Source organism: Homo sapiens, chromosome 4 (genome assembly GCF_000001405.40).
Source record: "Homo sapiens chromosome 4, GRCh38.p14 Primary Assembly".
NCBI classification, from domain to species: domain Eukaryota; kingdom Metazoa; phylum Chordata; class Mammalia; order Primates; family Hominidae; genus Homo; species Homo sapiens.
The window spans coordinates 185,973,471-185,998,632 of NC_000004.12; the positions used below are offsets into that span (position 1 = coordinate 185,973,471).

Sequence of the window (25,162 nt, forward strand, 5' to 3'; positions counted from 1 at the left end):
TCGCGCCATTCTCTTGCCTCAGCCTCCCGAGTAGCTGGGACTACAGGCGCCCGCCACCACGCCCGTCTAATTTTTTGTATTTTTAGTAGAGACGGGGTTTCACCGTGTTAGCCAGGATGGTCTCGATCTCCTGACCTTGTGATCCACCTGCCTCGGCCTCCCAAAGTGCTGGGATTACAGGTATGAGCCACTGTGCCCGGCCTTTGATTGCTATTTTTCTGTCAGTTGTCCCAGGACCTCATCTGGAGGCTCCAGAGCAAGTCAGGTGTCTTGGTCACCCTATTTGGGTCACCAGAACTACAGGGGTGGAAAGAGGGTGATCCCTTTTCTCCCCATCATAAGCATCATGACCAACCCTCCTATAACAAACAACAGGCTAACAAGAGACAAGCATAACAAATTTGTCTGATCATTGTTTTACGTGGCATGGGGGCCTTGGGAATGGAGACCCTAAGGTACAGGAGAGACTATCTGATCTCATGCTAAGGTTTGATAAAGCAGGGACGGCCGTGTAGAAATGGGAACGGACAAAAAGGGAATGTTCTAGTAGTACCGGGGCTGAGTGTGGAAACCCAGCAAGGCCTGTTCGGACTCTTCTTGGCCTCTCTGTGCAGCTTCCTTCCTCCTGGGTGTGGGGTAGGGTCCCCCTGGAATGGGGATCTTACGACCCACAATTAAACAACGTGGGTCAGAGAAGTTCTTTACGGCAGCTCTCACACAGAAAGGCAGGGGAGGCTGAAAGTAGTGATTTTAGGCTTTATTGTTGGCTTTGGGGAAGTGGGAGTCTGGTTTCTTTTATTTATTTATTTTATTATTATTATTATTATCATCATTTGAGACAGAGTCTCGCCCTGTCACCCTGGCTGGAGTGCAATGGCGTGATCTCCTCACTGCAACCTCCGCCTCCCAGGTTCAAATGATTCTCCTGCCCCAGCCTCCCAAGCAGCTGAGATTACAGGCGGGCACCACCATATCCAGCTAATTTTTTGTATCTTTTAGTAGAGATGGGGTTTCACCATGCTTGCCAGGCTGGTCACGAACTCCTGACCTCATAATCCTCCCGCTTCGGCCTTCCAGAGTACTGGGATTACAGACATGAGCCACTGTGCCCGGCCAGGAGTCTGGTTTCTATGACCCACCTGGAAGTAGAGAGCTTCTCATTTCTATGGCTTGCCTTGTGGGAGAATGAGGGCCAAGGGACAAGAGGCCAGAAGAAAGAGAGAGACTTGGCTTGAGGCTGCTTCTGCAGCCTTCACTTTGTTTTCTGAGCCCCAGCACTGCTGTCTCCATCACCTTCAGACACACTTAAATCGTAGCTACCTCTTGTGAATACTTGGCCTCAAGTGAAAGAAAGGAAGATGGAGAAACAAAGGAAGAAACTGAACAGAATGCATTTTATTCGAAGCACCTTCCTTCTACCTCCTTTTATTTTGGCTAAGGATAAAAGGGTAGATTAAAGTGAGATTTGCAAGTAGCTTAAGGAAGGCAAAGTCAAGGATTGAGAGCCGAGAAAGAATTAAGGACAATTCAGTAGGATGTACATTCCAGAAGAAAGCTGGTTAAGACCAAAACCCAACCAATCTCTGATGTAAACAATGGAGCTGATGATTAAGTTTAAAACTAAAGGCCAGCAAATTTTGAAATTTGAAAAGCAATACAGTTATTTAATTCAATGATACTCTATTGATTGTAAATTCATTTTAATCTTTAAACCATCCTTCTGATTATATGAACAAATGCAGCAAAATTTAACAACTATTTCTTTCTCTTTTTTTTTTGTTTTTTGTTTTTTGTTTGTTTTTGAGACAGGGTCTCGTTCTGTGGTCTAGGCTGGAATGCAGTGGCATAATCACAGCTCACCACAGCCTCAAACTCCTCGGCTCAAGGGATCCTCCTGCCTTAGCCTCCCAAGTAGCTGGGACTACAGGTGCACACCACATGCCCAGCTAATCTTAAAAGTTTTTTTGTATAGATGGGGTTTCACCATGTTGTCCAGCCTAATTTTGAACTCCTGGGCTCAAGCAATTCTCCTGCCTTGACCTCCCAAAGTGCTGGGATTATAGGGGTGAGCCATCACACCAGGCAAAACTCTTTCTTTCTTTATTGTTGAGTTTTTGGAAAAGAAGAGAGACATGAATGATACAAAAGGGACATAATAGAAAAGGAAAATGATCAATAATTAGAGAAAACTCTTATCCTTTCTTTGGCTGGTTTTCAAACCCTTCATTGGAGCCCTGCAAGTTCTAAGGAATCTAGGCACCGGGGTGGCATGGAGGAGATGAGGACTGAGCCTTGACAAACTCCAGCCTCTGTTCCCAGCTACTCAGGAAGCAGAGGTGGGAGGATGGCTTAAGCCTGGGAGGCAGAGGTTGCAGTGAGCTGAGATCATGCCACTGCACTCCAGCCTGGGTGGCAGAGCCAGACCATGTCTCAAAAAAAAAAAAAAAAGCCATTTCCAGAAAACAAAGATAAAGAGAATTTATCACTAGCAGTTTTACACTACACAAAATATTAAAGAATGCACTTCAGGCTGAGGAAGATGGTCAGAGGTGGATGAGAAAACATGAATCTGCAAAAAAAAAAAAAAAAAAAAAAAAAAAAAAGGAAGAGCACCAGAGTTGGTAAATATGTGGGCAAATACAAAATACTTTTTCTTAATCTTTTTAAGAAACTCAAGTGATTGTTTAAAGTAAAATAATAAAATTGTACTGCAGAGTTTATAAGACAGAAGTGAGCAGTGAGCTGAGATCGTGTCACTGGCACTCCAGCCTGGGTGACCGTGTGAGACTCCATCTCAAAAAAAAAAAAAAAAAAAAAAAAAAAAGAAATGAAATATATGACAATAATAGTAAAAAGTCTTGGCAGTAAAAATTGTTATAGAAAATTGAATTATACTGTTATAAGGTTCTTAACATGAAATAGTAAAATATGCATTTCAGTAAGCTATGATAAGGTTAGGGTCCATATTATGATCCTTAGAGCACCTACTATAAATGGAAAATTAGAATGTCAATTTCAAAGACCGATAGAAATAATAATATGTAATTCTTATAATTCAATTAATCTAAAAGAAGGCAGGAAAAATGAGACCAAGGAGAGATGGGAGTTATGGAATAAGTAGAAAACAATTGTTAGCAAACCCAACTATATCAACAATTACATTGGGTAAAAAGGTACTAAATACTCTTAATTAAATGTTAGAAATTGTCAGATAGAAAAGTAAGATGAATTCAATAGGATAATACTTTAACTATAAAGACACAAATAGGTTGAAAGTAAAAGAATGGAAAAGAGGCCAGGTGCGGTGGCTCACGCCTGTAATCCCAGCACTTTGGGAGGCTGAGGCGGGCGGATCACGAGGTCAGGAGTTTGAGAACAGCCTGGAAAACATGGTGAAACCCTGCCTTTACTAAAAATACAAAAATTAGCTGGGCATAGTGGCGGGCGCCTGTAATCCCAGCTACTTGGACGGTTGAGGCAAGAGAATCGCTTGAACCCGGGAGGCAGAGGTTGCAGTGATCTGAGATCGTGCCACTGCACTCCAACCTGGGCGAAAGAGCGAGGAGACTCCGTCTCAAAAAAAAAAAAATAAATAAAAGAATGGAAAAGAATATACCATACAAACACTAATCACAAGTAACACAATGTGACTATATTATCAAAGTAGGCTTTCTGACAAGAGGTATTTGAAAAAAGATACACTTATAACCACATGTTGACAAGGGTCAATTCATTACATAAACATCCTAGATTTATTTGCAATGAGGAGTAGAACTTCAAAATACAGTAACAAAAATTGGCAGAGCTAAATGGAAAATTAGAAAACTTTACAATCATAGTGGGAAATTTTTACAGCCATATATTAAAAATTCACAGAAGTAAACCAAAAAAGTTAGCAACATAGAGAAGAATTCAGCAACTTTATCAACCCCTCGACCTAATTGATATTTATAGACTATTACAACAAATTGCTGCAAATATATATTAATTTCAAATGTACAAGTAACATTGACTAAGATTGACAAATGCTGAGTCATAAAATAAGTTTCAATACATTTTGAAAGACTAAAATTATATAGAGTATTTTTAAACCACAAGAGAATTAAGTTAAAATCAATAGTAAAATTATAACTAGAAAAATTCTTAAATACTTGAAAATTAAACTACATGCTTCTACATAACCCACGGGTGAAAAGAAAAAAAATCCCAAGGGAAATTAGAAAATATTTTGAACTAAATTGTAATTAAAACAAAGCATATCAAAATGTGTGAGATGCAGCAAAAACAGTGCTAAGAGGGAAATGTGTAGCATTAAAGTTTACATTAAGAAAAAGATCAGGGCCAGGCGTGATGGCGCACACCTGTAATCCCAGCACTTTGGGAGGCTGAGGCAGGTGGATCATGAAGTCAGGAGATTGAGACTATCCTGGCCAACATGGTGAAATCCCATCTCTATGAAAAATACAAAAAAAAAAAATTAGCTGAGTGTGGTGGCGGGCACCTGTAGTCCCAGCAACCCAGGAGGCTCAGGCAGGAGAATCGCTTGAACCAGGGGAGTGGAGGTTGCAGTGAGTCAAGATCGCACCACTGCACACCAGCCTGGGTGACAGAGCAAAATTCTGTCTCAAAAACAGAAAGAAAAAGATCAGTGAACTAAGCTATCAAGATAAAACAAGCTAGACAAGAAAAAAATATTAAGCCCAATAAAAGTAAAAGGAAGGAAATAATATAAAATCATAAGTCAATACTATAAAACAGATTAAAAAAGCAAAAATCAACCAAGTTGAACTTTGTTATTTAAAAAGATTAATAAAAGTGATGCACTTCTAGCAAGACTAGCTGAGAAACAAATTGCCACTATAGGAATGGAAGAGGAGATATAACTATAGATTCTTCAGACATTAAATGATATTAAAGCATATTAGAACAAGTTTACATCAATAAATTCAATGAATTCAATTATTTTTTCCTGAAATTTATACAAGAAAACAGAAATTCTGAATAGCACTGTATTCGTTAAAGAAACCAAAATATCCCAAAAGAAATGTCAAGCCTAAATATCTTCACTAGTCCATTCTATAAAACATTTAAGGAAGAAAAATATCAAAATTCAACAAACTATTTTATAAATAAAATAAGAGGAAGCACAAACTACCTTAATGAGACCAACATAATCCTGAGACCAAAACATCAAGGATGGTATAACAAAAAAATTACAGATAACTATTTCTGAGAACACAGATATAAAAATCCTCAATATCATGTTAGCAAATAAAATCCAGTAATATTTAACAATAATAGTACATCAGGCCAAGTAGGGTTTATACCAGGATTTAATATTTCAAAATTAATTTATATAATTTACCACATTAATAGAATAAATAAATCATATGATCATCTCAATATACAGATAAGGCATTTGACAAAATTTACCCCTTAATCCGGATTAAAAACAACAATAAACTAGGAATAGAAGAGAATTTCTTAAATTTAGAAAAGGACACCTATGAAAAACTTACCTTTTTTTTTTTGTTCTTTTGTGTTTTTTGGAACAGAGTCTCACTCTGTCATCCAGGCTCCAGGCTGGAGTGCAATGGCATGATCTTGGCTCACTGGAACCTCCACCTCCTGGGTTCAAGCGATTCTCCCACCTCAGCCTCCTGAGTAGCTGGGATTACAGGCGTGCACCACCATTTTTGGCTAATTTTTTGTATTTTTAGTAGAGATGGGGTTTCACCATGTTGGCCTGACTGGCCTTGAACTCCTGACCTCAGGTGATCCACCCGCCTCGGCCTCCCAAAGTGCTGGGATTACAGGCATGAGCCACCATGCCTGACCTGAAAAACTTACCTCTAACATAATATTTTATAAGATATTGAATGCTCTATCTTTACCACCCCCTCAACATCAGAAACAAGGCAAGGATACTTTAACAACTTCGATTTAACATGTTCTAGGATCCTAAACAGTGCAGCAAGGAAAAAAAGAAACAAAAAATAAAGAGAAAGAAGAAAGCAAGGAAAAGTCATAAAGACTGAAAAACAAGAAAGGTGCAACATTGTCTATGTGAAGACTCTCCATGGTTTGGATACGTAGAAAGTCTAGTGTGTTCTACAAGCTACTAGAAGCAGTAAGTGAACTTAGCAAGGTCATAGCAGTCTGCAAGTGTCAATCTTGCATTAGCAATAAATAACTAGAAAATAAAATAATAATCCCAGCACTTTGGGAGGCTGAGGTGGGTGGATCACCTGAGGTTGGGAGTTCGAGACCAGCCTGACCAACATGGTGAAACCCCGTCTCTACTAAAAAATACAAAATTAGCCAGGCATGGTGGCGCATGCCTGTAATCCCAGCTATTCGGGAGGCTGAGGCAGGAGAATCCAGGAGGCAGATGTTGTGGTGAGCCGAGATCACACCATTGCACTCCAGCCTGGGCAACAAGAGCGAAACTCCATCAAAAAAAAAAAAGAAAAGAAAGAAAGAAAGGAAGGAAGGAAGGAAGGAAGGAAGGAAGACAGAAAGACCATCTACAACAACACCTTAAAACATCTATTACATAGAAATAAATTCAATGAAAGATGTGCAAAACCTCTATACTAAACACTACGAAACATTGCTAAGAGAAATTAGACATCTAAATAAATGGAGAGATGTACGATGTTTATGATTTGGAGCTCTAAATATTGTGAAAATATTCATTATTCCCAACATTATCTACATCTTTGAGGCAATTACAACAAAAACCCCAACAGATTTTTGTAAAATTTGACAAACTAATTCTAAAATTTATATGGAAATTAGAAGAACTGGTATAGACAAGATGATTTTTAAAAAGAGAAAATTGAAAAAAATAATAGTGTTTTATTTCAAGACTTACTACAATGCTACAAAATTAAGATAGTGCAGTGTTGTGATAAAGATAAACAAATTTTTCAATGGACAAGAATAAAAGGTCCAGAAATGTACACATACATGTACAGTCAATTCCAACACCAGCCCCACTGCAACTCAATGGGGAAGTAAAATTCTTTGAATAACTATTGCTGGAACAACTGGAAAAATGTTGGGAGCAGGCCCCCCAAAACTGGCCATAAACAAAATGTCTGCAGCACTGTAACATGTTCATAATGGCCCCTAATGCCTAAGCTGGAAGGTTGTGGGTTTATGGGAATGAGGGCAAGAAACACCTGGCCCGCCCAGGGCGGAAAACCGCTTAAAAGCATTCGTAAGCCACAAATAATAGCATGAGTGATCTGTCCCTTATGGACATGCTCCTGCTGCAGGTAACTAGCCCAACCTATTCCTTTAATTCGGCCCATCCCTTTGTTTCCCATAAAGGATACTTTTAGTTAATCGAATATCTATAGAAACAATGCTAATGACTGGCTTGCTGTTAATAAATACGTGGGTAAATCTCTGTTCGGGGCTCTCAGCTCTGAAGGCTGTGAGACCCCTGATTTCCCGCTTCACACCTCTATATTTCTGTGTGTGTGTCTTTAATTCCTCTAGCACCGCTGGGTTAGGGTCTCCCCTACCAAGCTGGTCTCGGCAGAAAAATGTGAGAAAATATTAACCACTACTTCCCAGCATTCACAATAAGTCAGTTGAAATTTATCATATTCCTAATTATAGAAACTAAAACTATAAATTTTCTAGAAGAAAATTTTATCCCTTGGGGTAAGTAGAGAAATAAAATCACTAATTACAAAAGGACAAAGTTAATACATTAAATTTAATAAAAATGTAAGACTCCTTTTTTTTTTTTCTTTAGAGACAGGATCTCACTCTGTCACTCAGGCTGGAGTGCAGTGGTGCAATCACAGCTCACTGCAGCCTCAAACTTCTGGAATTAACCCAAAGGTATATCAACAGGAAAATGGATAATCAGTTTGTGGTATTTCTTACAATGGAATGCTACTTAGCAATAAAGAAGATACGTATTATTGATATATGTAACAGTATGGATGAGTCTCAAAACTATTACGTTGAATTAGAGAAGCCATACACAAGAGGGCAACCTATGTAATTCTATTTATATGAAGTTTAAGAACTTAAACTTAATTTTAAGTTCATAAACTTAAAATTAATTCTTAGTGATACAAATTAGAACAATGTTTGCCTTGTGGAGAGGAGAATTTACTAGAAAGAGGCATGAAAGTCCTTTCATGGATAATGGAAATGTTCAATGTCTTGGTTTTGGTGGTTGGTTACACGGGTTTATAAAATTGTCAAAACTCATCAGACTGTACACTTGAAATTTGAGCATTTTATTGCATATAAAAATAACTCAAAAAGTGCTTCAAAGTAAAATAATATGTGTTAAATCAAGTTTAGCCTAAAGCTGCCTCCTTATGTATTTTAAATTCAGCCTAAAGGTTTTTCTGTACATCATGAACTAAAACAGGTGGAGGTGTAAACAGACCACAGCCTACACTTGTGCCAATCACCGAGTTTTGGCCAATCAAATACAGCCAAATGTTCCAACTATGTTCCAATAAGGCAAATGCCAACCGGTAATTCATCTAGCTGTTTCTTCACCTCACTTGCGTTTTCTGTACATCACTTGCCATTTTTTGTCCATAAATCTTCTTCTACCACATATGTGGCTGCGCTGGGGTCACAGAGCCTACTCTGGCTCTGAAGGCTGCCCGATTCACAAATCATTCATTGCTCAATTAAACTCCTTTACATTTAATTCGGCTGATGTTTTTATTTCATTATAAAGTATATATTGGGAAATACAAAGGGACAAGGAGCACAAAAGCCTCTTAAAGATTCTCCCTGTCTACTGTTCCCTGGAGAACCGAGGAGTGAATATCTACCTAATTCAAATTCTTAAGGTTTTCAAAAATAATATTTTCAAACTCATACAGTGATGCACCACGGATAATAAAGCAAAAATCTCCATAATCCTACCCGCAAGACATAAGCAATGTTAACTGTTTTTTATATCTGGTATTTCCTATGTACGTATTAACATATTATTATTATTATCATAATCATCAACATCATTATCTGAGACGGAGTGTCACTCTGTTGCCATGCTGGAGTGCAGTGGCGCGATTTCTGCTGACTGCAATTTCCGCCTCCCAGGTTCAAGTGATTCCCCTGCCTCAGCCTCCCGAGTAGCTGGGATTACAGGCGCCTGCCACCATGCCCAGCTAATTTTTTGTATTTTAATACAGACGAGGTTTCACCATGTTGGCCAGTATGGTCTCGATCTCCTGACTTCGTGATCTGCCCGCCTAGGCCTCCCAAAGCGCTAGGATTACATGCATGAGTCACCGCGCCCGGCCCAATATTGTTTTTAATAAAAATAATGTTATATGATCAAAATGTGTATAGTGACCTGAAATCAAAGCATTCAAGTCTAAAATCTGAGTTTATGAATCTGAAATTCTTCACTGGGTTTCCAGAGGTTGCATTTCATTGTCTTATTCAGCATGGAAGATACCTGTCATTCATGTGTTTCTAATTTAGTAGAGCAGATTAATTCAGATAACTGAAATTGCAAGTAGAAATAAATGAGCTGCTTCAAAATATTTTTAGAATGAAACAGTGTGTGCATAAATTGATTTTCATGATTTTCATCGATAAATACAGTCATTACACGAGTGAATTTAAAGGGAAGAAAAGGTATTTTTCCACTCAGAGGTGTGGTTTCAAGCCTTTTCTTAGCAAAAGACTGCTTTCTTCAAATGAAATCTTCCAGAAACTCTGGCTTATAAAACAGATACAACCAAATCTACTCTAAGTGAATAGGTTTGGAAAAAAGCTAAAGTTAAAGTTCTCTAGGGATCATAATATGGACCCTAACCTTATCATAGTTTACTGAAATTAATATTTTACGATTTCATGTTAAGAACTTTGTAACAGTATAATTCAATTTTCTGTAACAATTTTCTACCTCCAACACTTTTTACTATTATTGTCATATATTTCACTTCTGTCTTATAAATTCTGCAGTACAATTTTATTATTTTACTTTAAACAATCACTTGACTTTCTTAAAAAGATTAAGGAAAAGTATTTTGTATTTGCCCACATATTTACCAAATCTGGTGCTCTTCCTTTTTTTTTTTTTTTTTGCAGATTCATGTTTTCACATCCACCTCTGACCATCTTCCTCAGCCTGAAGTGCATTCTTTAGTATTTTGTGTAGTGTAAAACTGCTGGTGATAAATTCTCTTCACCTTTGTTTTCTGGAAATGGTAGGGGTTTTCTTGTTTGTTTGTTTCGTGTATGTGTGTGTGTGTGTTTTTTTTTTTGTTTTTTTTTTTTTGAGATAGGGTCTGGCTCTGCTACCCAGGCTGAAGTGCAGTGGCATGATCTCAGCTCACTACAACCTGTGCCTCCCAGGCTTAAGCCATCCTCCCACTTTAGCTTCCTAAGCAGCTGGGACCACAGATGCACACCACCACATCCAGCTAGTTTTTGTATTTTTAGTAGAGACAAAGTTTCACCATGTTGGCCAGGCTGGTCTTGAACTCCTGGGCTCAAAGCGATCTGCCAGCCTCGGGCTCCCAAAGTTCTGGGATTACATACATGAGCCATGGAACCTGGCCTGAAAATGGCTCTTTTTTACATTCATTTTTAAAGGACAATCTCACAGGACTTAGAATTCTAGGTTGACATATTTTTTTTCAATACTTTGAAGTTATTTAATTGTTTTCTACTGTCCATTTCTTTATTAATGAGAAGTCAGCCACAATTCTTATTGTTTCTCTGAGTGTAACATCTCTTTTCTTCTCTGGGTACTTTTAGGATTTCTCACCTTGGCCGGGTGTGGTGGTGGATTCCTGTAATCCCAGCTACTCAGGAGGCTGAGGCAGTAGAATTGTTTGTGCCTGTGAAGTGGAGGCTGCAGTTAGCCAAGATTGCACCACTGCACTCCAGCCTGGGTGACAGAGTGAAACGCTGGCTCAAACATACAAACAAGATTTCTCACCTTTATCTTTGAATTTTGGCTATTTGACTGTGGTATGCCTTGATGAAGTCTTCATTGTTTTTGTCCTGTCTGGGATTTGCTGAGTTTTTTTTTTGTTTTGTTTTGTTTTGTTTTTGATCTATGGGTTTATGCCTTTGAGAAATTTGACTCACTCCTGTGTTCGACAACATGTTTTTGTCAACAGGTCTTAGGTACTCTGTTCTCTCTCTATATTTCTCCATGATTCAGTTTGAGTGAATTCTATTGAACTATCTTCAATTTCATCCATCCTTTCATCTATGTGTTCATTCTGCTCTTAAATCCTCTAAAGAACTTTTCATTTAAGATATTCTGTTTTCTAGTTCTAGAGATTTTAGTTCTTCTTTTTCAGCTTTATTGAGATATAGTTGACAAATTAAAATTCTATATATTTATGGTATATAATGTGATGTTTTCATATCTGTATACAGTGTAAAATGATTATAATTAACCTAATTTAACATATTCATCACCTCACATAGTTATCTTTTTATGTGTGTGGGCATAAAAATGTTTAATATCTACTTTTTAAGCAATTTTAAAATATACAATACATTCTTATTAACTACCATCACAATATTACATGAGATAGTTATTTATTTATTTATTATTTATTGAGATGGGGTCTCACTTTGTCACCCAGGCTGGAATGCAGTGGTGTGATCACAGCTGACTGCAGCCTCAGTCTCCCAGGCTCAAGCAATCCTACCCCCTCAGCCTCCTAAGTAGCTGGGACTATATGCACACACCACAATACCTGGCTAATTTTTGGTTTTTTCTTTCTTTCTTTCTTTTTCTTTCTTTCTTTCTTTCTTTCTTTCTTTCTTTCTTTCTTTCTTTCTTTCTTTCTTTCTTTTCTTTCTTTCTTTCTTTTTTTCTTTCCTTCCTTCCTTCCTTCCTTCCTTCCTTCCTTCTTTCTTTCTTTCTTTCTTTCTTTTTCTTTCTTTCTTTCTTTCTTTTCTTTCTTCCCTTCTTTCTTTCCTTTTTCTGTTTTTGTAGAGACAGGGTTTCGCAATGTTGCCCAGGCTGGTCTCGAACTCCTGGGCTCAAGTAATCTGCCCACTTGAGCCTCCCAAAGTGTTCTGTTTACAGGAGTGAGCCACTGAGCCCAGCCTCCATTATATTTTACAATTTTAATTTTCTGCTGGAATTCCTTATCTGTTCACACATTCTATTTTTTCCTGAAAACCTTAAAAAATATTTTTTTAAACTGCAACTTTTATTTTAGGTTCAGAGAGTATAGGATTATTACAAGGGCCTATTGCATGGTGCTGAGGTTTGGGTACAATTGAGCCCATCACCCAGGTAATGAGCATAGTACCCAACAGGTAATTTTCCAGTGCTTGCTTCCCTTCCTCCCTCCCGCTTCTTGTAGTCTCCAATGTCTATTGTTCCCATCTTAATGTCGATGTGTACCCAATGTTTAATCTTTTAACATAAATATACTAGCTGTTTTTAAATTCTTTCTTTGCTAATTCCAGAATCTGAGTAATGGAAACTCTATTTCTATTGCCTGTTTTTCTCTTGGTTCTAGGTCACATTTTCCTGCATCTTTGCATAACTAGTAAGTGTGTATTGAATTCTGAACATTATGTACGACATATTGTACAAACTCTAGATTCTATTATCTTCCCATAAAGAGTACTCCATTTCACTCTGGCAAATATTTAAATATTTGGTGGATGTTCTTGATTCTATTGAGGCTTGATTTTGGAATTTGTTATGGAGGCTTATTTGAGTTTACCCTTAGATTTGGGGCATGGCTTGGAGTCTTGGATCATGAGTTTATTCTGGTAACATGGCTCTTAGGGTTTCATTGGAAAATCCAAAATGTTTTCTAATCTCCTCCTTCTTGACTAGATTTGAACTCTGAACTATCTTCCTAGAACCAGGTAGCTACTGAAATCTCTGCTTATATATATTTTTTTCTTTTAGTTTGTGTATTTTCTTTTTTGTATTTTTTATTTGTTATTTTATTTTATTTTAAGTTCTGGGATACACGTGTAGGATGTGCAGGTTTGTTACACAGGTAAACATGTGCCATGGTGGTTGGCTGCACCTGTCAACCCAACACCTAGGTATTAAGCCCTGCATGTATTAGCGATTTTTCCTGATGCTCTCCCCACTCCCTGCCCTCCCCTGACAGGCCCCAGTGTGTGTTGTTCCCCTCCCTGTGTCCCTGTGTTCTCATTGTTCAGCTCCCACTTGTAAGTGAGAACGTGTGGTGTGTGGTATTTGGTTTTTTGTTCCTGATAGTTTGCTAGGGATAATGGCTTCCAGCTTCATCCATGTCCCTGCAAAGGACGTAATCTCGTTCCTTTTTATGGCTGCATAATATTTTATCTTTTTAGCCCCTCAATTGCTGATGTCTGCTGGGTTCCTTGAGTGTCATTTAGGAACCAGCCAGAGACTTGCAGGGACTTTCTATGCTGATTTTAGAGCTCTCTCTTTGTGTCTAAGATTTCTTCTAAGATTTGTCCCCTTGGTTTTCAACCACTGTGGCATCTCTGAACTTCAGTTTCTGTTTCCTGAGCAAAAAATGTCTTCTTTCAGTTTGAACTTGATTTCCTCATGCATCATGTGAACTGAAAAGTTCCCATATGGGAAAAGTTGGGTACATGTAGAAGTCACTCAGTGTCCTTTGCTCCGTTCAAGCACCTTCTGCTGAACAGTTTCTGCCTTCTTTGGGTTGTATTGTGTTTTGTATCATTGTTATTAGCATGAGGGTTTGTCTTATACAAGCAACTCCATTATTACTTTACTCCCATTAGTGTTAAATTCCACTATTTTCCTAACATTTGACCTCTGTAGCCCCTAAAAGCATTTGAGTTCATAGCCTCTATTTTAAATTTATAAAGGTCTGATTTTTTTTTTACAAAATATATTTTATAATGAATATGATCTATTTTTAATCAGAAAAAAAACACAATCACCCAGTTTGGGAAGGGTCTATTTCCTTAGATTTAGACAGGTATGGAAAATGGTATATCCCATAAGAGCGGGAGAACACTGCTCAGTGAAAGCCCTCTGTGGAGGGAGGGCAGAGATCAGACATCTAAGCAGATGGCTGTGAGGGGTAAAACTCAAAGCTTCCCGATTCCCAGCTTCAGGCTGGGCGTGGTGGCTCACACCTGTACTCCTAGCACTTGGGGAGGCCAAGGCGGGAGAATTACTTGAGTCCAGGAGTTCCAGACCATCCTGGGCAACATAGTGAGACCCTGTCTATACATGAATTTAAAAAAAAATTAGGCATGGTGGTGCACACATGTAGTCCTAGCTACTCAGAAGGCCAAGGTGGGAAGATTGTTTGAGCCCAGAAGTTTGCGGCTATAGTAAGAATCATGACTGCAGTACTGCACTCCAGCCCGAGTGACAGAACAAGACCCCTCACAACAAGAACAACAACAACAAAATTCCCAGTTTCAGGAAGATTCCCTGCTCTATTGGCGATTTGGAAGCAGAAATCTAAGGGGGTTTTTAAAAGGTCAGTGGTGACCACGGTAACATCGATCCTCATTTCATTTCCTAGGGGTCATGAAAACAGCACATGTTGGAGCATTCTTGGAAAGGATCCCAATAGCATTGGAAAAATCATTCCTCACCAATACAGTGGAATGGGAGCTGAAATCCAGGATTAAGTTCATATAAAGGAAATCGAGAAATATTTTTCATACAGCTGAGTTTTTGGCCTGAGAATCATGCTTTTGCAATCCCATAGGAGACAGGGTGAGACATACTATAGACCCACGTCACAAGGTTCCAGTCACAGCACACCAAACAGCACTTTTGAAAAAAACATGTTTTATGGGTGGGTCAACACTTGTCAGATTAGGGGACCCTGTCCTCACTGATGTCACTTGATCCTGTTAATTACCGAGTCCCGAGAAAGAGACCCAGGTAAAAGTAAGCTCCGTATCCTTGGGCCATGTGATGTTTCCGGATAATTTCCAGATTATCTGTAGTTGAACAGGGAGTTCACAAGCTTTCCCCATGACTCAGAAAATTGTAACTGCCTGAAGAATTTTTAGAAGGCTGTAAGTGAGGAGATGGTCCTGTGGGACTGAGCAAAACATACCATGCTGGATTTTCCAAATGTGGGATGTGATTTAGATAAGCTTCCACCCTTGATATGCTTTTCAAAAATAACCTTTATCAGATTGTTATTTATTATTTCACTCAACACATAGTAAGTATTGACTAAGGACCACTCACTATTTTAGGCAGTGACACTACCACAGGCCTGGGCAGAGGAACCTGATTGGAAACAGTCCTGCAACCGGAGGAGGTGTCTAAAAATGTAGGGAGATTTCCTTGTTTGTCAGAATGACTGGGAGTTTCTACTGACATTAGCTGCCAGGTGTTAAGTGATGGTAAAATGTAATGCAATGCACAGAACATACCAAGAGCACTTGCATAGGTCAGTATTTGTGAAAGAACAGGAACTATTTAAAATGGAAAATGGCCGGCGCGGTGGCTCACGCCTGTAATCCCAGCACTTTGGGCGGCCGAGCCGGGTGGATCACTTGAGGTCAGGAGCTCGAGTCCAGCCTGGCCTACATGGTGAAACCCCGTCTTTACTAAAAATACAAAAATTAGCTGGGCGTGGTGGTGGGCACCTGTAATCCCAGCTACTGGGGAGGCTGAGGCAGGAGAATCACTTGAACCCGGGAGGTAGAGGTTGCAGTGAGCCGAGATCATGCCATTGCACTCCAGCCTGGGTGACAAGAGCGAAAGTCCATCTCTAAATAAATAAATAAATAAAACAAATAAATAAATAAAATGGAAAATGACTTGTTACAGCAAAATGGGCATGTTCAAAACCATTTTCTGTGCTGGAACACTTGTAGGTTTGCTGTTCATTAGAGATTTATGAAATCGCCTCTGACATCCTTGCTAGGAGCTACAGGAACCCACCACCAATAGTCACAGCCGCTTTCACAAGAAAATGCCCTGAGGCCACCGGAAACACCTCAATTCATCTTAGCAGCCAGGAAAATGTAATGCCTTTTGATCTCCTTCTGCCTTCCAGATCAAAACCAGAACCTTGCTTATGGTCATTCTGGGGAATGTAGTTCCCAGGTTCCTGGTCCAGCAATACAGAGGAATAGCATAGATTAGACATTCTCAGACTCCATCACCTCTAGTCAAAAAGGTTTGTCGACACATTGTTGGGGTTCAGTACACCTTGATGAGCCCTTGGAATTTGCATCTCTATCAAGTCTACAGGTGATGCTCATGCTGGTGGTCTACGCTTTGAGGCCATATGCTTAGAAGGGAAAATAAGGATGTATGCAAATGTCCAATCTGTCACAGCCAGATAAAGACATGGCGTTCATCCTGAGTGAAATGAGGGGCCATTGGAGAATTTTTAAGCAGAGGAATGACATGATCTGACTTCCATTTTAAAAGGATCACCTGGGCTTCCAGGGAAATAATAAAAACAGCCATGCCAGGCAAGAGGTCATTGTGACAAAAAAAAAAAGTTCATGGTGGAAACTTAGGAAAATACAAAATAAAAAGACAAATATAATAAAAATCACTTACAATCCCACCAGTCGGAACCAACTATTATTAATATTTAGATATATTTCCTTTCTGTGTGTTCACTGAGATTATAGTTTACACGATGTGTAACATCATTGTTTAAACTTTAATATATCATGCCATTGAGAATTCTAGGTCATGGAATAGTCTTCTGCAACATTAAGAGGAAGCTGATTGGTGGAAGGCATGCAGAAGATGTCACTGAGATGTCACTGGGCCTGTTAGTGAATGTGCTTCCTGAGGTGCCGGTCTCTTCTGTTCCTCTTCCTAACACACCTAGCCTATCAAACAGAAAATATTTTAATCAGAATTTCAAGTTCTTGACTTAGCACGTGCTTAACAAAGGCTTACTTTTTAAGTCACTGAGGCAGTGAGGGAGGAGCTTGGGCAAGGTTCCTCAAGATCGCCAGTCCAGTGTTCTTAAGATCACAAGTGTGGACAATTAGCCGTCAAAGAATGGTCTCACAGGATTTTTCCGTGTATATCTGATATATTGCTTATCACCTTGTCAAAACTCAATAAACAGTTATGGGAGAAATACATTAATGAACTACATCTCTAAGCCTTGACCTCTACAGTATTTCTTCCTTCCAATCAATATGCTTCTTGAAGTTTAGAAAAAACAGTCTCTAATCCTTCATCTCCTACTCTTTTGCAAGCGGTATGGAATTTGTTTCTTCCTGAAAGGAAAGGTGAAATATTTTTCTCTGGAAAGAAGGGTAAGAAAATAAGAAACTGTAGAGTTGGAACTAAGAACCCCAGAGTACATTTAAATAAGACATAAATGTATTACTCACCCTCCCAATGAAAGCAGAGGCCCCAAAGTCAACTTCCTTAAAGGGCTAGACAGATAATGTTGTGAATATTTGGAAAGGATAGATATAAGTCAATAGACAGTACTGTGACCCATGATAAATACAATAAAAACATATTGAAATTATACTTCCCAAAATATTATGGATTAGGTATTCCGGAAAACACCTCTGAGAAGAAACTTTAAAATACCAGAAAAAAATGCAATAAATATTTAAATACTTAGTTGAACATTTAATTGAAGGACCTCATTTTAGGTGATAAAGCAAGGGCTAATGCAGGGAAGCCCCGGAATTGCTAGCTGACACCAGCAAGTTTGTGTTTTGGGTTTAATGTGTGAGGGATAAGAGGCAGGGCCTCAGGTCAACTTATGATAGGGATTTGGGACTGAGATTTCCTCATAAATCTAAGGGTCTTGAAATGCTATAACCTTAATAAAAGAATAGGTTAGAAAAAGAGTCTATATATTGTCAACAGGAAGGACACTTTTCTTTCTCAGCATCAAATCTGAGTGGAAATTAAAAAAAAAACTTATGTAATTCTAAGCATGCCCCTATAAGAGTCTGCGATTCTCCGACAATCCATGGAATCCCAAGGAGAGAATTAACACAATGGTCCAGGATTAATACCACTCTTGGATGTGTGTTAGAAGCCAGTATTTTCTGGAATAATGGTCCCTCTCCTAAGGCCTCCTTAGTGGATTTACTAGATTTGGGTCAGTCAAATAGGTTGGAAATGACATTCTTCGTCTTAAAGCTTTCTAGATATTCCTGATCTATAAAACTAAGTTATTGGGCTAAAATGTTTTTAATGTCATTTCAATTTTGTGTTTGTCTGATTTGGCTTGTGCCACAAATCTAAAATTTTTGCCAGTTAATATCACGGCCATCTCCAAGTCACTGGAAAACACTAAGTGAACTTTGTAGATGTCTCTTGTTTTCCTGTAATGTTATGAACTATATTAGTGCTTAATACATTGAAATTAACATGATGGAAATAAAAAAAGATTTATTCAGCTAATTTCAAACAAAATAAACAGCTCCCATTCTCATCAGTCAAAATCTTACCCTACTCAGAAGATGATCAAAAGCAAAACTAAAGAAGTAGCCACTGAGTCATCATTAAATTTTACTTGAAACGTGTTATGTAAGCAGTCTTGTTCTCAATCATGCAGAAAATAAAAACAGACATGCTGTGGACGCTGGTTTGAATGGAACAGAACGAAACTCATGTCTGTCAGTCACTGATCCTTGCCAAGCTGTGGGAATCATACTTGTTAAAGTGATTGAAGTCCTCAGTGGTAGAATTTATTTTGCTTCATTTTCACCAAAGCTTTACAAGCAGAAAATGTTTCCATTTGCATAAAAGTTTCAATTAGTACTGACTAATTTTAATTTTAGTTTCTTTGAAAATTCACATCTAATTGTCTAAGGCATTTCCAGCACTAATAGTAGACAAACTGTGAACATTAGTAGGCAAAAGTGAAAATTTTTCTCTGGAAAGAAGGGTAAGACAATAAACTGTAGAGTTGGAATTAAGAACCCCAGAATACATTTAAGTAAGACATAAATGTATTAATAAATATTTGAAGAATGAATTAAGAAAAATAAGCTCATGATAATTATATAATTACCATTGCACTTAAAGGAAAGTCATTTGGGCCCCCAAACTAACTGTAAGGTGAAGCTGGGCTGAAAGCAAACAAAAGGAACCGTAGACATTTTTTTAAAAATAAGAAACACACAAAATTCAAGTCATTTACTCAAATTTAAGTGAAATAATCAGCACAGAGATTGCAATTGTTGCTGTCTATTGTAGAAAAAACTAGAACATAATTCTTCATGGATTGCTTTCAACTGGACAGGTCAATTGCTTCCTTGATTCATTTTTTTAAAAAAACAAAAACCTTAGCAATTTATTCCTGCTGGTGTACTAAAGCACAGCACTTGTGTCATTCTCTAAGCTCTCGTCGGGTAGAATGAAGTCAGGGCTAAAGCTTATCAGGGCTTTGGAGAGGAAAGTGAGGGTTTAGGGCACCACAGTGAGAACTGCTTTTCCCCACACTAATACAATATTCCAAGAAGGTTTGCTAAGTTTAATTGAGTCTAACTGAGCTAAGTTGAACTGAATTGAATTCAATCTAAATGAATCAGTTGCAGGTCATACTGTTGAGTTTTAAACTCTTATTTTTTTTTTTCCTGAAAGAGTCCTTGAGACCCATCCTTCAGCACAGGCTGAGAATTTCTATCTGTAATTTCTTTTCAGGGGCAGTTAATATTTTAAAAGATTTTGTTTAGAAGTGGTTTCCTCAATATCTTTATGATGCAATATTAGTTCTCTTTCATAGCCATTATTTTCAGTTGGAACCACAAATGAGAATATTTCTTGCTGCACTTCTGGTTAACATCTGATTCCCCAACTAGACTGCACATCTCTGTGCTTTGTTCACCCCTCTGTCCCAGGACTGGTTTAGTGTCTGGCACAGAATAGTTGCTTTAATAATTATTTGATGAGTGGATTAATTAATATAAATAACAAGAACAGTAAGAGAATCACAATTCTGTAATTACCATTTCACTTGAAGGAAAAACTTGGCCTAAGGGAAATGTTAATTCTTGCATTTATGTTTAGTGAGTATGCTGTGGAAGTTGTTTCTCTCTATACCAGCCCGTGCCTCTAAGCTTTTGGTCTGTAAAAGTAGTTGATTTCTTTGAAGTGCTCGATTCATTGTTGACATTGGTATGTACAGCAGGAAACAGCTGATTTGAGAATATGCCAAGGTGTTAGGGCATCAAATATGGGTCTTGGAACAAATGGAACAGAACTGAGTTTGTTTAGCCTTGACAACGGACAAAGTTTTTACCTGCTAAAGTAGATTTTATGTATCAATTTTGCCATGAAGAAATTGAAGACCAGAGAGGCCAAGGAGCTTGTCCAAAGTTCAAAGGCAGGGCTGGTGTGCAGGCAGCCGCATGTGCTCCACAGTGACTGTCTTGCTTTGTCAGCCACGCCATTACTGGTTGTTAAGATTCAGGTACTGCCATGGACAGCAATAGAGCACACACAGAAATAGACTAAAAGCTCCTGTTTTTTCTAATATTCTCTATTGGCCATCACTATATTTTGAGTTCAGAAACCTGAATATGACCCAGGATTCCCTTTGTATTCGCTCTGTGGTGCTCCATAAGGCACTCGTGTCCTCTGAATGTCATTTTCTTTATATGTGAAAACGAGGATCACCGTCCCCACTTTATTATTGTGAGAGTTAAACAAGAAACCTGTGGGAAAGGTAATGGAAGACCTGGCACTCACTAAACGTCATTCAAATCTGAATCTGTTGTGAACCTCAAACATTCTCTTCATATTCCAGTTTTGATCCATATTCTCCTGGCATTACTCTGAAATGCATTGTCTCACCCTTTCTTCAACATCAAAGCAGTTCAGACCTATGCACTAAACTACCTCGTTTACTGTCTCCCAAAGCTCCCTAGTTGGACTGAGCCTCTGCTGCCCACAGTGGTGAGCACTTAACACCACACATTTGATTGGCTTCCTGCTCTTCCCCATCTTCCTAGGCTGCTTCCTGGATTCAACATGTAAATAATTTGCATTTAAACTACTTGTCTCAGGAACTCAAACCACTCAACCAAAAAACAATAATCCCATCAAAAAGTGAGCAAAGGTCATGAACAGACATTTTTCAAAGGAAAACACAAAAATGACCAAGTATATGAAAAAAAAAATGCTCAACATCACTAATCATCAGAAAACTGAAAATTAAAACCGCAATGATATACCATCTTACACCAGTCAGAATGGCGATTATTAAAGTGTCAAAAGATAACAGATGTTGGAACGGCTATGGAGGAAAGGGAAAGCTTATATACACTGCTGGTGGAGATGTAAATTAGCACAACCTCTGTGGAGACCAGCATGGAGATTTCTCAAAGAAATAAAAATAGAAATACCACTGGATCCAGGAATCCCCCTATTGGGTATCTACCCAAAAGAAAAGAAATCATTATACCAAAAAGATACCTGCACTCATATGTTTATCACAACACTATTCACAATAGCAAAGATATGGAACTAACCTCAGTGTCCATCAAAAGATGATTGGATAAAGAAAGTGTAATATGTGTATACATACATAATGGAATACTATTCAGCCATGAAAAATGAAATAATACCTTTGACAGCAACATGGATGGAACTGGAGGCCATTATCCTGAGTGAAACGACTCAGTAACAGAAAGAAAAATATCACATATTCTCACTTATAAGTGGGAGCTAGATAATGAGCAAATGAGACAAAGTATGGAATGATAGATATTGGAGACCTGGAAGACAGTCAGGGTGGATGATAACAAATTACTTAATGGGTACAATGTATATTATTTGAGTGATGGATACACTAAAAGCTCAGACTACACCACTATGCAATATATCCATGTAACAAAATTGCACTTATACCCCTAACATTTATACAGTAAATAAACCACTTGCCTCAGGGTCTGGTTCAGGGGACTCCAATTAAAATAGGGCATATCTTCATATATGTATTAGTGAGAGTTCTCCAGAACCAATAGGGTGTGTGTGTGTGTAGATATATATTATGGAAGTTGGCTTGCGCAATTATGGAGACCTAGAAGTCCCATGATCTGCCCTCTGCAAGCTGGAGAACCAGGGAAGCCAGTGATGTACTTGAGTTTGAGCTTGAAGGCCTGAGAACCAGGAGAGCGGATGGTCTTGCTCCCAGGTCGAGGCCAAAGGCCTAAGCACCAGCGTGGCTGGTGGTGTAAGTCCTGGAGTCCGAAGGCTCAAGAACCAGGAGCTCCAATGTAAGGGAGGTGGAGAAGATGGCTGTCCCAGCTCCGGAAGAGACCGAATTGTCCTCTCCTCTGCTTTTTTATTCCATTCCAGCCCTCAATGGAATGACTGATGTCCGCCCCCATTGGAGAAGGTGATCTTCTTTACTCAGCCACTAATTCAAATGCTAATCTCTTCCAGAAGCACCCTCCCCCACACAGAAAAATGTTTCACCAGCTATCTGGGCCTCCCTTAGTGCAGTCAAGTTGACACATAAAGTTCGGCACACAATGTGTTGCATCCCCACTTGCTCCCAGCAGGTGCAAGCTTCTTTCTTTCATAGCAGCCCCACAGCTTTCTGTATCCTAGGTTGGCACAACTGCTTTGGCAGGGCGTATGTTAGAAACCTCTGGTTGGGCCATCATAGTGTCTCAGTTTGTGCTTGTGTCACCGTTTCTGAACATTAATCCAATTGCCGTCCATCCTCACATAAATGGATGCCTGCTCTATGATTTATGTGTTCCTCATCCTTTTGTGGAATTCCACTGTCTGCTTCCATCTTTCTCTCTTTCATTCTTATGGCCTTAGCTGCTGCCTGGAGATGCATGACCACCTGGGAAGCAGATCCTGAAGGTGTCAGGAACCAGGCTGGAGACAACGCTGCAGTAAGATTTAGACAAAATAGAAATCTGGGGTGGTGAGAGGGTCCCAACTTCATTGCGATTATGAGAATTTCAAAGAAGTGACGTCTGATTTCTTGAGTAGGTTACTTAACATTATTTACAAGACATATGTGACCCTAAAAAGTAAAATAAGGCTGGGCGCAATGGTTCTCACCTGTAATCCCAGCACTTTGTGAGGCCAAGGCAGGTAGATCACCTGAGGTCAGGAGTTTGAGACCAGCCTGGCCAAAATGGTGAAACCCTGTCTCTACCAAAAATACAAAAATTAGCCAGGTGTGGTGGTAGGCACCTGTAATCCCAGCTACTAGGGAGGCTGAGGCAGAAGAATTGCCTGAACCCAGGAAGCAGAGGTTGCAGTGAGCCAAGATCACGCCATTGCACTCCAGCCTGAGTGACAGAGCGAGACTTCATCTCAAAAAAGAAAAAAAAAAAGTGAATGAAGCCTCCAGAACATACCTTCATACCTTAATATGAGGAAATTGTTCTTTTCCCGCATTTTTCCTGTTTCATATTAGTACAGGTAGGAACCATCTGGACATCATGTATTATTTTACCTGATGGGGAACACTCTCCTTCAGTGTTTCCTCCACAAACAAGTAAACATTCCATAATACGATTTTAGATAACTAGGGAGAATTTACCAAGATAAACCAAAGAACATTCCTTCCAAAGTATATTTTTCTTTAAAAGTTTTAATGGCAATTTCTTTACAAAGTTCAATATATTATAAGACATGGAAAAATATATTGTACCCAGTATTTACTACAGTCATGAACTCTTAGAGTTTAAAATGTTGCTTTATTCAAAATCCAAAATTATAACTTGAAGTATATGGAAAATTCCCAGAGCCTAAGCAAATGAAGTTAAATTGGCATGGGGCATATGCTTTTATTTATTTGTATTAAAAAATCAAGTTATCAAAATATTGGCAACATAATTTTAACGTCTAATAGAAAAGGCAAAATAAACATGGCTGATATGTTAAAAACACACACACGCAAAACCTACATTCCTGAAAAATTTTAGTGCGTTTGCAAATCTGTTACCAAATTGAACATCTATAAATGGAAAGATAAACAGTTCGAGAGTCAGCGAGTTCTGGGTTCCAGTCCCACTGTGTACACTCTGGGATTCTGCAGGCGGTGGCATGGCCAGAAGCCTGCAGGCTTGCCAAGAGGCCGTGGGCACAGCACCATGCCTGAGCGCAGAGTGGCAGTGACTGGCTGGTAGCCCAGCACATGGGCCTAGGAATCTATTGTGGTGTCTGACACCATGCAGGTGTCACCACACATTGCTTTACCCGACAGATGGATGAACTGAATTTACAAATAGCTATAATTGGTTACCATCAGGGTGAAGACTTAGTATGGTGACAAAGAAATCCCCCAAATAGTGGCATAAAAACCTTTATGTGTATTTCTCTTTCTCAGAAAGCCATCCCTAGGTGGTGGGAAGTGCAGGCTGGCAAAGAACACGTTCCTCCCATCTGGTTAGGACATCGTCTTCTGCATGATGGGAACCGGGTCAGAGGCACCTGCGTCTACCAGCTCGGGTGAAGGGAGAGGGTCGAGAAGTGCATGCTCAGTGTTTTAAGGCCCTGGTTCAGAGTGGCAGATGTCACTTCCACTCAAACTCCAGTGGCTGGAACTCAGTCACAAGGCCACCACTCTCTCCATGGAAAGTTCAGAAACATCATCCTGGAAGCCCAGCCGCAAGTCAAGGATCAGCACAGTGTTTGCGTAGTGTGAAGCCAATCTGGTAACTAGCCGTGTCCAGCTCAGACCCCTCCAGTGTCACCCGATATCTGTGTGTGCTCTTATCCCACGCACAGACACACGAGGCACATGTGCCGCCCTCCACGGGGAGCCCCCAGAGTCCCCTCTGCATTTCCCCCAGCCCAAGGTCTAGGTTGCTGCAGTATCGGTATTGGAGGATTTTTTTTTCTTTTTGAGACAGAGTCTCGCTCTGTCTCCCAGGCTGCAGTGCAATGGTATGATCTCGGCTCACTGCAACTTCTGCCTCCCGGGTTCAAGTGATTCTCCTGCTTCAGCCTCCCAAGTAGCTGGGATTATAGGTGTCCACACCTGGCTAATTTTTTGTATTTTTAGTAGAGACAGGGTTTTGCCATGTTGGCCAGACTGGTCTTGAACTCCTGACCTCAGGTGATCCACCCACCTCGGCTTCCCAGAGTGCTGGGATTACAGGAGTGAGCCACCACGCCTGGCCTGGAGGGTCTTTTTGGTCTGGTCCAGAGGTAGCGGCTCACTGCCCAGTGGCCTCCAGCTAAAGGGCCAGTTGTCTATGTCCCTCCCACTCACAACCACAGTGGTGGAGCTGGAACAGCACA

General features: G+C 39.4%; 1 long non-coding RNA gene across 2 annotated transcripts in view; it reads right to left on the reverse strand.

The window, feature by feature from the left end:
- Nucleotides 1-16,654: 16,654 nt before the first annotated feature.
- The window catches only part of LOC124900830 (uncharacterized), a 32,841-nt gene continuing 24,333 nt past the window's right edge, over nucleotides 16,655-25,162 (reverse strand). The window contains exon 3 of one of the 2 annotated variants that reach the window (XR_007058420.1): nucleotides 16,655-16,791. This is a non-coding gene — a long non-coding RNA (uncharacterized LOC124900830). Of the gene's footprint in view, nucleotides 16,792-22,536; nucleotides 22,793-25,162 lie in introns of those variants that run through there. The other variant, XR_007058419.1, reaches the window with a different exon arrangement.